This window comes from Homo sapiens, chromosome 4 (assembly GCF_000001405.40).
Source record: "Homo sapiens chromosome 4, GRCh38.p14 Primary Assembly".
NCBI classification, from domain to species: Eukaryota; Metazoa; Chordata; class Mammalia; order Primates; family Hominidae; genus Homo; species Homo sapiens.
This window is the reverse complement of record NC_000004.12, coordinates 118,131,339-118,144,943: the sequence shown is the minus strand read 5'-3', so window position 1 is coordinate 118,144,943 and position 13,605 is coordinate 118,131,339. Positions and strand designations below refer to the sequence as shown.

General features: G+C 38.4%; 1 protein-coding gene and 1 long non-coding RNA gene across 17 annotated transcripts in view; one reads left to right on the top strand and one right to left on the bottom strand.

Moving 5' to 3' along the window:
- The window catches only part of NDST3 (N-deacetylase and N-sulfotransferase 3), a 225,313-nt gene that overhangs the window by 113,691 nt on the left and 98,017 nt on the right, over positions 1-13,605 (bottom strand). For 12 of the 13 annotated variants that reach the window (NR_146513.2, NR_146514.2, XM_006714416.4 and 9 more), the window contains 2 exons: positions 6,705-6,890; positions 1,260-1,388 (listed from right to left, as the gene is read on the bottom strand). Coding sequence is in view for 11 of the 13 variants with exons in the window: in XM_006714416.4 (XP_006714479.1) it covers positions 1,260-1,388; positions 6,705-6,890 (315 nt within the window). In the remaining 2 variants the exon portion in view is untranslated. Of the gene's footprint in view, positions 1-1,259; positions 1,389-6,704; positions 6,891-8,061; positions 8,150-13,605 lie in introns of those variants that run through there. The other variant, XM_017008843.2, reaches the window with a different exon arrangement.
- Positions 1-13,605, top strand: part of LOC107986307 (uncharacterized) — a 149,690-nt gene that overhangs the window by 59,483 nt on the left and 76,602 nt on the right. For 2 of the 4 annotated variants that reach the window (XR_007058243.1, XR_007058242.1), the window contains exon 1: positions 8,308-11,397. This is a non-coding gene — a long non-coding RNA (uncharacterized LOC107986307). Of the gene's footprint in view, positions 1-8,208; positions 11,398-13,605 lie in introns of those variants that run through there. The other 2 variants (XR_007058240.1, XR_007058241.1) reach the window with 2 other exon arrangements.

Genomic DNA, 13,605 nt, shown 5'->3' with positions numbered 1-13,605 from the left:
CTAGGAGTTAAAACATAGGTATAGTGATGAATACAAGCAGAATTGAGCACAATAAATCTCCTTGAATACAAGTAGATGGTGAACACTATCTGCAATTTTATTTGCAGGGACTATAAAACTAAGGTCAAGAGAGGGGTTTTGCAAATTTTATTCAATTTATCCCTATCCAACTTTTTTCACTGATAATTTTTTTTTTTTACATTTGGAAATAATAATTTTTTTTCCATCTTGAATATTGCCAATGCCAAGGGCAAACCCATACATCTTCTGATAAATAAACTTAGCTTTACTTTTTATGATAGTGATTTTCAAAAGGGAAATAAAATCCCTTCTTTTCCTTATGCAGCTTACTTCCATTTGTTCTTTCTCTACACAACTTTCTAATACTTGCCTCAAGCAGAAATATATGCAAATGGTTCATTGTGGAGCTGACACACAAGTATGAAGAAGTAAAAGAGTAGCCCGGCCAGGCGTGGTGGCTCACGCCTGTAATCCCAGCACTTTGGGAGGCTGAGGCAGGCAGATCACAAGGTCAGGAGATTGAGACCATCCTGGCTAACACAGTGAAGCCTCGTCTCCACTAAAAATACAAAAAATTAGCCCCGTGTGGTGGCAGGTGCCTGTGGTCCCAGCTACTCGGGAGGCTGAGGCAGGAGAATGGCGTGAACCCGGGAGGCGGAGCTTGCAGTGAGCCGAGATGGCGCCACTGCACTCGAGCCTGGGTGACAGAGTGAGACTCCATCTCAAAAAAAAAAAAGTAGCCCATTAAATAGGCCTGCTCTGCTTCAGCCTATGACCTAGCAAGACGAATCTAACATGAAGTAGAAAATATAACTAGATTTGCTTACCTAATTCCTCTACTATTTTGCTTCTACGTTAACTTTAAATAGTAAAATAAAAATAATAATAGAGGTAACTGTTGTCTAAATGGAAAAAAAAATGGTTCCCCGTGGAAATAGGAGAGTTTTACAGGTGAAAAATTTTATTCCCCATGAAAGCTTCTGATCACTTTGCAATGCAAAGGAGGATCCGCTGGAGCACTTCCCTGGTTCTGCCATGAGTTCCTCATGTTACTGCTACTTGTAGAATTGGTTTGTTCCCATTTCTAGATGTGGTTCCATTTAGTTTTTACTACTGTTTCAGAGCTAGAACTTCATATTGGCTTGGCTGATGACTGCCCAATCCCTAGCCTCTTTGCCAGGGTAATTTTTGCCAGCCCTATCATTTTTCACTATTTATTTGGAGAATAAAGTACTTACAGGGTTGAGGACGACAGTGAAGAAAAGTTCTCCTCCTTGGATACTCTTATCCAGCTCTTTAGGACCCCCTGGATATTCTTTGTAGAAAATGGTGTGAGTGAAAAGCCCACAGGTTTGTCTTGGGAGAACCTGAAGGAAAAATGAAAAAAGTAAGGAAAAGCTTTTTTTTTTCCAATCAATTTGTTGAAACTTAGCTTTTTGCTCACACAAGATGATGCACAAGCTAGTGAATTATTCAGGTCTAACCAGGGCCTGGACAATCTATCATACTCTAGGCAAGGGAAGGTGATGTTAATATGGAAGGAATAGTGAAGAAAGTTGAAGAAATATTTTAAAACTAAAATAGGTGTTGTGTTATTTTAGCTACTTGTCTGTTTTAAATATCAAAGTGAGTACTTCTTTTATGAAGCCTAGTAGGTTCTAGCATCTTAAGAGATTAAAAAAAAAGAAGTAAAAATGAGACTTTAAAAAAAGTATTGGATTGTCTGTGCTATACTGTAATCTTAATAGGCAATAATTTTAAGAAAATATTTTCTGCCAAATTCTGCCATGCATTAGAAAATGAAGTCAGTTATCAACTCAATGTGCTTCTTAGGGAATGACATTTTAAATTAGAATGAATATTTGAGACACAAATCACAGTATCTGTTCTCGTCTGAAAGGACTACTGCAGGCTATAGTAATTACCTCAGATTCTAAGTGTGAAGCCTGCCAGTTCCTACTGTAAGAAAGAGATTATTCACTTGGTTTGTTACTTTTAGAAAGTGTAACAACAAAATGATAAAAGGTCATTTAGTAAGAGGTCTTCTCTTCATCCTTTGTATATATGTATTATCTGCTTCAATTATATACACTCGTGATAAGGTTTTTCAAATTTTTATAGCCTTTTGCAATTATAAAAGAAGGTGTGAATTAAAGTTGTGCAAGATAATAAAGCCTTAAGCAGAATATTTTACAATGACTTCATGGTGACCTGTGTTTGTCACTATACATTTGAAGTAGCAGAACATTAATGAGTATACTTCAGAGAGCTACAAATGTTACAAAATCATATAGGGACAGGTCTTCTGCTTATTGTCCTAAGTAAATCAATCTTCATGTTTTATGTCTTGAGTCTTAAAGCACATTTGGTTCAGTAAATGCTTTCAAAATATTACCTGTCCAGGACTTCCCATGTTTTGCAACCCTGTAGAAATATACTAGTGTTTTTATTTTATTTTATTTTATTTTTATTTTTTATTTTAGTTTGAATGTGTATTAAAATAAATTTTCGTCTAGCCCTTGGATAGTATTATATAATACTGGTTATATAATACAACCTATTGTATAATCTAGTCCTTGGACAGACAGCTCAATCAGTATATCTGCATAAATAAAAACTCTATATATCCTATTTATTTTGGTAAGTTGGTAGAAGTTATATCCTTAGAAGCTATTTTATCTTAATAAAATAGTTAAAAAACTTCTGTTTAAGTATAAAATATTAGCTCTGATGATGTCTATGTTTAAAAGCATTATGCATCCTCATGATCCTATCTATACACAAAAATAATAACAAAAAACAACTAAATGCAAATGCATTCTAATGGAATTAAATATATTTCCTAACAACTATTATAAATGTAATATTTGGAAATTAAAAATGAAATTTTGAATTTGGAAAGCATTTGGAATAAATACTTTATATAGTATTTATTCATTTATTTAACAAATATTTATTCTAAACTCTATGCTAGCCCACAGAATAGATTTAGTTAAGTGCTAGTGGAACTAGCTATGGACTGTATGTTAATAGGTTGCATGGAGTTAGTTTTATGCTAGAATACTAGATCCATATCCTAGTTCCATGCCAGCCCATGTGAGAGAACAGAAAGATATATGTTTTCTACTCTTGAAGGATTTAAGCTATATTGGGGTAATGGGAAAGACCCAAAAGCTACATAATAAAATGCTCACGTGTTAAATGGCATTTAACATTTTAAAAGTGTATGACTATGACTGAATCACTTCTAGGGTTCAGTTTGAATATTTTGCTTGGAAAATTATAGGATATATACAGAGCCATCTTTGGGACTTGATTGCCTAGCTGATTCTGTGCAAAACGAAGAGAGAAGCAAAAAGATATTTGAATTTTGTCTATTTCTCAAATTATTTGAATTTCAATGCAGTGAAGAGGAAGTGGCAGGCTTTACCCTGCAACTGCAGGAGCACTACTCCTGCTGAGGGTATGAACCCCATAGAGAGCCCTAGCGGGAGTCAGTGGACCACTACAGGAGGCTAAGGAGATGATCAGGAGTGTGATAAGGGTCATATTCCACTGCCTTGCTCCATAAATGCAGTGGCACCGAATGATGAGCATGTTCCTTGAAACAGCTTTCTTATGCTACGGAAAGGATGAGAAACATTTTTAGGCATTCTGCTGTGGACTGCCCCCTAGAATTGGTTCTGGGAATGTAACAGTATCAAAGTCAAACTTTGAGATGCCGATGAACCCCTGAGAACCCTATTGCTGCTGAAAATAGCTAGGAGTTTATTATGAAAGCCATGATCAACAAGAATCTTGGCCAATGTGGACTGAAGTCAATATCCTGTACCTAAGGCTCATTCAGGAGCAACTGCCAACAAATACTTCTGGGGAGATACCAATAAAGACCACTTAGAGGGTTTACAGCAGGATTAATGAGTCTCTACCAATGGGCATTTCCATTAAAAACAGTAAGTAGATAGGATGTGTAGTCTAATTTTTTAGAGGTCTCTGGCTGATATGGTTAGGGTTTGTGTCCTCACTCAAATCTCATTTTAAATTGTAATCCCCATAATACTCATATGTCAAGGGAGAGACCAGGTGGAGGTAACTGAATCATGGGGACAGTTTCCCACATGCTGTTCTTGTGATAGCGAGTGAGTTCTCACAAGACCTGATGATTTTATAAGGGGCTCTTCCCGGTTTGCTCTGCACTTCTCCTTCCTGTTGCTTTGTGAAGAAGGTGCTTTGCTTCCCCTTTGCCTTCTGCCATGATTGTAAGTTTCTTGAGGTCTCCCCAGCCATGCTGAACTATGAGTCCATTAAACCTCTTTCCTTTATAAATTACCCAGTCTTGGGTATTTACTCATAGCAATGTGAGAATGGACTAATATACTGGTTCTTTCCAGAGAGTCATATTCAACAACCAGAGATTAGAGTAGAGAGTGCTGGTTTCCATCAGGTCTTGGCTGAAGGAAAATGACTCAGTTGAAAATGCAATAAAACTAGGGGTCCAGAGACTTTGGTTAGGGCTCAAACAGCTTAAAGTGTAATTGGTGTTTATGTTCCTGATGAAAATACAAAATGATGTGTTGTAGGAATTCAGAGGAGAATAAGATCCCTGTAGGTATGAGTTAGGTATTGAGTTGCTATATACTAAGGTGCTTTGTTTTCAATTATTTAAGATATGGGATTTGATATTGAAGAATAAAGGGAATAGAAATAGGTAGATAGTGGCCAGAAAGTCTCTCAAGGTGGAAAGAATGACACAGGCATGGTAACAGCAATACTATTATGGGGTTTGGTTGGAGTGAGTGTGCTTCAGCCATAGGGAAATAGGAAATAGAAAGGTAGACAGTCCAGATGGTTTTCAGGTACCTGAAGGGCACATTAGGGGATATGGAAGCAACTGGAACTAATCAAGGTTAGGAAGGCCAGGATAAAGGCAGCATTTTAGAAAGATTAAAAGGTTGGCACTGTCTATGGGATAGACTGCAGTGAGGTGGTGGATGGAACCTGTAAATAGATAAAGTAGGAAGCAGCACCAGGTTCACACATGAAAGTCAAGGAAGTAAATTAAGATGGTGGCAGTGGGAAAGGAAATAAAAAAGATATAAAGGAATTATTGATGAAATATAGACACTGATTGGAAGTGGTGGTAGGGGGATAGAATGATGTTTGAATTACAGAACTGAATTAAGGATAATGGCACAATCAATAGCCGGTTCGAAGGGAAGATAATGAGACCTTTTGAGTTGGATTTGGGAATGGATCATCAGAAAAAAGTTGCTCTCATACAGCAAAATAAGAGTGTGATCTAAAGTTCACTCCTCAGTTCCCTATTTCTAGATGCATTCTCTCCCTAGGAGGGCATATTGGCTCCTGTGGTCTCTACTTGCTTCTCTATTTGGATGGCTCCTAGTCTTATTTTCTCTCGCTTATTGTGTAATCAACTGTCTGCTGAACATTTCCCACTTGGAAACTCTCATCCAAGAGCCCACAAGCCAAATATAGGTTTCCACAGATTGCTGCAAAAGCAGATCCACAGGGACAGTTCCATCAAAACAGGAAATCTGTTAGAGCCTTGATTACCTGCATGATTCATGCATTTATAATACAGATAAAAATGTGTTTTCAGGAGAAATGAAAAAATATATCCCAGGTCTTCTAAACTCCCTCTGGTCAGAATTCTGGCAGCTTGAGCCACAGTAGGTTCATTTTCAGTACAGAGGAAGGGCAGATTGGGATAAAATGTGGCCATTATGTCCCCGTCTAGCATTTACAACAGTTTTTATTGAGGGAAAAGTCAAGATGGGAGATGATCTAAGCTATATGTCTATCCACTCTGTAATTTTTGCAGACATTGAAAAACTCTCTGAAAAGAAGTCAGTTATAACCTAATTCTAAAGGGTAAACATCTCTTCAGACATATCAGTTCAACAGAGTGTTACGGTGGCTCATCACATAGTGTTCTTCTGTGGTGTTTCTTCCCAGTGTGTGATTCTAAATTAGGAGGCCCATTCCTAGCTTTACCAGGACTTTCTTAGGATTTTCTGATTTGGGAATAAATTAGGATTTAATTGCTTACTTTGGGAGGTAGTAGCATATTTTGACAATATACATTTGCTGAAATTGTAAAAAACAAAACAGAGAAGCCCAGGATAGAATTAGATGGTGTATGCAAATGATTTAATTAGCATCACCTGTCATTTTTACTCTATATTATTATATGTTAATGATTATGCAGGGCTTCACATGTGGCTTCTGGCTGCAAATGGTTGAGTTCTTTTTTAGCCTGGCATGGTAAATAGAAGAACACAGTTTGACTGGCTTGTCAAAGAGCAGCATGGTTAATATAGACAGAGTTGGTGTTAGTTTTTCATACTGAATAACATTTTGAAGAAGTGATGTCTACTAAAAATTATCTGCAAGTTAAATGTAATTTTTTTTTAGTATTTTAACATCAGTGCCTGCTTACCAGTGGTAATGTCAGTAACAAAACCTTTTTCAGTTATATTTGAAGAATTGAAAAGAAGTGATTTTAATTAAAACATTTTCTGCTTAGATATGACAAATATGCTTCCTGCAGCATGGAGCTTTTCCTACATTTATGCTGCTAACATTTGTGTTTTTCTTTCTTCAAGTGAGGAATGAAATCTTGCAGAATTAGTTGTACCCTATGCATACTGGAGGAAGCTCACCATGATGTTTTTGTGGATAAAACCCCTCCGGTATCTAGCTGGCTTCAGATGTGGATATTCTTCAGTGCTGGTGATTTTAATATTCCAGACCTTCTTCCAGGCCTCATAAAGCTGAACATGTACAGGGTAGACGCCCGAATGGTGAGGGGCCACAGCGTAGCCCATGTCCGTTGGAATGCCGTGCTCCTAAGACCAAGCAAATGTTAATTGGAGCGTGTAAAGATTTATCTTGATCCTATTTTTACAGTAAGATTTTCAAATGTACTGTAAATATATATATTTAAATGCATCATTACTTAATTGTGTGGTAAAATTAAAGTGATATAAGTATTAACACCTCTAGACGTCATGAAGCCTGTTAGCCATTTCACCAGTCCTTATGTTGATGCATCTGTGTTTGAGGGGTGGTGAGACAGATCTAGTGATTTTAATGAATAATTTGAAAGAGCCTCTATTTTGCACATCCTTGTCGTAGCCACCTGTTTTCCTATTGCCCATACGTCAACAAGTTAAATGTTAGACACTTATTACAAACAAAACTAAGCACTTCCCGCAAAATAAAACCAATGTTTATTAGAGGAACAGAACACCTTCCAAGTTCATTAGGCTGCTGTTAAGATTTTATTTTGTCTGCTCTACAGTTTCTACCAAGTTTTCCACATTTCTGTTGTCCTTTCAGCATGTGGGCCAGCAGTAACAACGTTCCCTGCCTTAGGAGAAGCACACACTTTTGATTGGATAATGTGGTAAAATTCAACAGAGTAATTTTTTTTGAAGTAGAAGCCCTTATAGTGAAAGTTGAAGGTACTGAAACAGCCAAATATTCTGGGAACTTAGTTGATTTGAAGTCAAGCTCTTGTACATAAAATGACTCCAGTTAAAAAAAAAAAGGCATAGAGGAAAATTACACAGTAATACAAAATGAAACGTGTCTTTTAGAAATAGAACACCCATGGCTTCAGTAGTTGACAGGTATTTTTTTCTCCAAAGTTATTTTTTATTTTTCTGTTTATATTTTTCAATTGCTTGGAAAAAATCTTCAAAAATTCCACTCAAATAGGTTCTTTTAAATTAATGACTGTCTTCATGCCAAATAACAGTTTCACATACACAGAATCATAGTATCAGGCTGCTAAATGGTTTAAATTGCAGAAATATGCAGCCAACTGATATGGAAAAAGTTAGAGGTATGGTTAGCTTTGTTTTTAAACCTAAATAAGAACAGGAGGGGAAGAAAGTATATGAAGTGCCTGAATGCAGAAAGAAAACAGCTTGCCAGTGGTTTGCCATTACCTAAATACTTGTTCAAATTCCTTGATACAGCATAAAAGGCCCTCAAAATTTGGTCCCAACCTACCTATATAGCCTCATCTTCTATCAGCACTCATCGCCCCAATTTCTGATGATTTCCTTCATGTCATTGCTGTATACTGTACACACTGTCTTCCTCAATTGGAATGCCCTTTTCTTATCTCGTAAACTCTGTTTATTGTTCAAAACTCAGTTCCGTCAGCTGTAGTTGAGGATGCCAAAAACGGGAGCCACTATCTTGCTACTGTGAGAAAGAGGATGGGTGGTATTGGAGGTTGAGTGGACCATTCCTGTGTTTCTGAAGGGTGAGAGGTAAAGTTTCATATTCTTCATTTTATTTGCATCATTTGCAGAAATTACCATAACTACATAACCATCATATTTAGAACTCCACTAAAAATTGAATTGAAATATCTCATTGCTTTTTTCGTACTGGTTTTTAAAAACTCAAACTAAACTAATTTTTTCCCACTAGACATCCCTTATCAACACATAATTTGTGCTCAACTAAAGTGATTGAAGGCTAGGGGTATGGTGATAAAGACCAGATGAAGAAAAATGAATTCATATCACAAACATTAAAAAATGAATTATAGGTTAACAACTTTAAAAAATGTGCTGAAGTAACTTTATTATTTCTGGTGGTTGTTAAATAGTATTCTTTTATTTTAAATTTCAACTTTTAGATACAGGGGTGCATGTGCAGGTTTGTTACATGGAAATGTTATGTGGTGCTGAGGAGGTTAACAACTTTTTGAAGAGTGTGGGAAGAAATACACAATGACAAGAGCTATGTTATAAAATTCAAGCATCTGCAAATTTGTAAGAAATTATGCTGTTCAAAAGCTCAAGGTAGTTTTCAATAACGGCGAGTAGTCAGCTGTGTCTTCAGAACCCACATGGCATGAAAGGATGGCCCAGCATAGCAGAGACATTTCCCTTATTTTGGATTTAAAAATATTTGGCAACCAATGTATATACAGTTTTTACTTTTTTTTCCTAGCTTTAACACTAAAAACTACTGCAATTTTTAATTAATTAGTTAATTTATTGAGACGGGATCTCACTGTTTCCCAGGCTGGTGTACAGTGGTGGTGATCATAGCTTACTGCATCCTCGACCTCCTGGGCTCAAGCAATCCTCCTGCAGTAGTTAGGACTACAAATGCACACCAGCACACCTGACTAAATGGGTTTTTTAGTTTCATCTTTTATTTGTGTGCTGGTGCAGTGTGGCATAGTAGCAGAAAACATCGCTTCTGGAATCAGACGTATCTGGCTGTTCATGCTCTCATTCACCAACTGCATGGCTTTTGGCAAATGACCTATGAGCTCTAAGCCTTGTTTCCTGTTCTCTAAAATGCTAGTCATAAGGGCATTACCTCAAAGGGGTTCAGAGGTAATTTTGGAAGATAGTATAGTTCTGGAAACATGATATGCATTTAATGGATTTTTAAAATTATTGTTGTCATTACTACCCTGCCTCTATTGTTTTTAGATGCTATGATCCTACCACTCAAGTATAATGTGGAAATTATGAAACTACTGGGCCACTTATTTTCCACTAAAAGAGACAGACTGTATTTTCTACTTTCACTGTAGATTTTGGGATTCTTTCTCATGAGACTCCTGTGGTGAACTCTGACTTCTACCCCACTACCCCTTCCTAAGCCTGCTTCTCTTCTGATTCCTCCAAATATGCTCAGCCACTGCCGAGTAGTTCCAGCTTGTGAGTCATTCAGTTAGTAGGGGGCTGCTTTTAAATTCATTTTAGAAGAAGGCAACATAAATTTGCTCCCAAATTTGCATTCATCACCAGAGAGAACACCTGAAACGTTATTGTATAGAAAAGTTTGGGTTAAGATTGCAGGTAGTGTGATCCGGAAGGCAGACTATCAGGTTTTAAAAGCTTTAGCCATCATGCTAAATTTTTGGCTGATTACTCTCCTCTGGATTGTTCGATTTGAGATTAAGCACATATTATTTTTTAATCTGTGGCAAAAAGTCTACCTTAAAAGTTAATTCTAATTAGTCTTTTCATTGATCCTTGATTGAAAGTAGCATCTTAGATCTAGGAACTCTGAAATCTATGTTAAGATTTTTCTAGTGGAGGACATGGTTCAAAAACACTGAGGAATCTGGCTATGTAACTATAAAACGTAAATGAAGTATTTGGATCACAAGTGGAATTAATAGTCTTAATAGTTGAACTCATGATTTCCACATCTCAGCCCTACCAGATATTCTCTTTCTGCAGGGTTTCTCCATGTCATTAAATGACACCATCAACCAACAAGTTGCTGTGTTGAAAGATAGATAGTTTTGACACCTCCTCTTTCCTCTTTTCTAAATTTAGTCCACTGTCATGTCCTATCAGTACTATCTCTGGTATATATCTTAAATTTAGCTACTTTTCTTCAATTCTATCATTATCATCACCCTAGTCGAATCTACCATCTTATCCCATTGCCTTTTGGCATAGAATCGCATTCCCTCTCTTGCTTCCTTCCAATACATTCCCTGCAAAGTAATATTTAAAAGATACAAATATGATTATGTGACTGTCTACTCAAAATCTTTCCCTGATTTCCCTTTCCACTTAAATTACAAAATTCTTAGCATGATCGCAAGCGCTGCATATGATCCTTGCTTCTTTGTCTAGCCTTATCTTGTGCCACCCTCCATCCTTCACTGAATTTTAGTCACATGAAACTTTCCCTGAAACTCACCAAGCACTTTTCTACCTCAGCATCTTCCTATATGTGGTTTCTTCCCCTGAAATGTTTCTACTCCAAATCTTCACCTGGATAAATCTGAAGGTAATTTATTCTGTCATATCTTTGGAGAAGACTTTACTGACAAGTGCCAATCTAAATGAAGTCGACATTAAAACTTCTCTTAGTAGCTTTCCTTGGTTTTTCATAGTACACAGCACAGTTTGTAAGCATGTATTTTTTTGCATAGAAAAGACATTTATGTAATATCTCTCTTTTTCATTAAACAATAAGGTTCATGAAATTTAGGTTCCATTTTATCCACTGCGATATACTCAGTGTCTTGCCAATGGCAAGTACTCAACAAATACTAGTGAAAAAGTATGATCTGATTCTGACTACCTCCTTCTCATTCCAATTTTCACTTTCTCAATTATCTTCATTACACTGCCTGTTCGTCTGAAGAATAAACATATGGTAACTATCAGGGAAATTTTAATATCTATGTAAATAATACTTGAAAGCAATTTTTAGACTGCAGTTAAAAATTATGAGGGCAGAGCAAAATGGCAGAATAGAACCCTATACCATTTGTACCCCCTGCAGGAAGGCCAAATTTTAACAACTATCTGCATACAGAAAAGCACCATCAGAAGAACAAAAAATCAGGTAAGCAATCGCAGTACCTCGTTTTATCTTCATAAAAGTTAATGAAAATGGCATTGAGGAGGGTTGGAGAGACAGTCTTGAATCGCCAATGCCACCTTTCCCCTATCTCCCGGCAGTGGCCATGAAGTGCGGAGGGTCTATTTATGTGGGGGAGGGAGAGCACAGTGACAGGGGGACTTTACATTGAACTCAGTACTACCCTGTCATAGCAGAGAGCAAATCCATGCTCTGCTCAGGCTTTGCTCACACATGGAGGGATCATTTGGACCAGACTTAGCCAAGGGGAAGTTATGCATGTCATCAGTTAGAGCTTGAGTTTCTTGTCAAGTCTTGCCACCATGGGCCAACATGCTCTAAGGTCCTTGGTAAACTTGAAAGACAGTCTAGCACACAAGGACTTCAATTCCTAGGCAACTCCTAGTGCTGGATTGGGATTAGAGCCAGTGGACTAGGGTGGCATGTGACCTAGGGAGACACTAGCCAGAGCAGCTAAAGGATTGCTTGCGCCACTCCTCCCCCAATCCCAGGAAGTGCAACTCACAGCAATGAAAGTGCGTCCTTCCTTCTGTTTAAGGCGAGGAGAGCAAAGAGTAAAGAGGACGTTGTCTTGCATCTTGGATACCGGCTCAGCTACAGTAGGAGAGGGCACCAGGCAGTCATGAGGCCCCCATTCCAGGCCCTAGCTCCTGGAGAGAATATTTCTTGACATACTCTAGGACAAAAGGGAACCCATTGTCTTGAAGAGAAAGATCCAGTCTTGGAAGGATTTATCACCTGCTGATTAAAGAGCCCTCGGACCCTGAATAACCATCAGTGATAGCCAGGGAGTATGCTGTGAGCCTTGGGCACTTGGGACGCACTTACTACATGTGTGACCCAGCACATTCCCAGCAGTGGTGACTATGGTGAAAGACTCCTGCTTGAGAAAAGCATAGGGAAAAGTAAAGGGGACTTTGTTTTGCACCTTATGTACCAGCTTGGCCACAGTGGGGTAGAGCAACAAGCAGGCTCTTGGGGTCTCTGAGTCCAGGCCTAGGCTCTTGAACAGCATTTCCGGACCTTCTGTGGGTCAGAGGGGAACCCACTGTGCAGAGGGTGAATCCCAGGCCAGGCAGCATTCACCACAAGCTGACAGAAGAACCCTTGGGCTTAAGTGAAAATTGCCGGTGGCCTGACAGAACCCTGCCAAGGGCTGCTGGTGGTGGTGCTCAGAGGGAGAGGCTCTTCTCCCTGTGGAAAGGGGAAGGAAGAGCAGGAAGTACTTTATAGTATGGTTTTAGTACTAGCTTAGCCATAGTAGAACAGAATGTCAGGCAAATTTCTAATGTTTTTCACTCTAATCCTTGGCTCCCAGACAGCATCTCTGGACCTGCCTGGGGCCTGGAGGAACTTGCCGCTCTGAAGGGAAGGACACAAACTTGGCTGGCTTTGCCACCTGCTGATTGTAGTGGCCTAGGGCCTTGAGTGAACATAGGTGGTAGCCAGGTAGTAGTTATAGTGGGCCTTGGACAAGACTCAGTGCTGTGCTGACTGAGTCTTTAGGCCTGACCCAGTGCAGTCCCAGTTATAGTGGCCATAGGGGTGTTTGCATCATCATAATCCCAGTTCCAGGCAGCTCAGCACAGAGAAAGAGACTCTGTTTGTTTGGGAGAAACTAAGGGAAATGAACAAGAATCTCTGCCTATTAATCCAGAGCCTTCTTCTAGATCTTCTCCAAGACCACCAAGATGGTACCTCTACGAGTCTGCAAGGACCACAGTGATATTGGGCTTGGGAACCAAGCAGCTTCAAATATCTGAAAAGCCTTCCCAAGGACAAGCACAAACAAGCCCAGACTGCAAAGTCTATAGTAAATACCTAACTATTCTATGCCCAGACACAGATGAACATCTACAAGCATCAAGATGATCCAGGAAAATGACCTCACCAAATGAACTAAATAAGGCATCAGAGACCAATACTGGAGAAATAAGGATGTGTGACCTTTCAGACAGAGAATTCAAAATGGCCATTTTGAGGAAACTCAAAGAAATTCAAGATTAACAGAGATAAGGAATTCAGAATTCTATCAGATTAATTTTACAAAGAGATTGAAATAATGAGAAAGAATCAAGCAGAAATTCTAGAGTTGAAAATTGCAATTGACATACTGAAGAATGCATCAGAGTCACTTAATAGCAGAATTGATCAAGCAGAAGAAAGAATCAG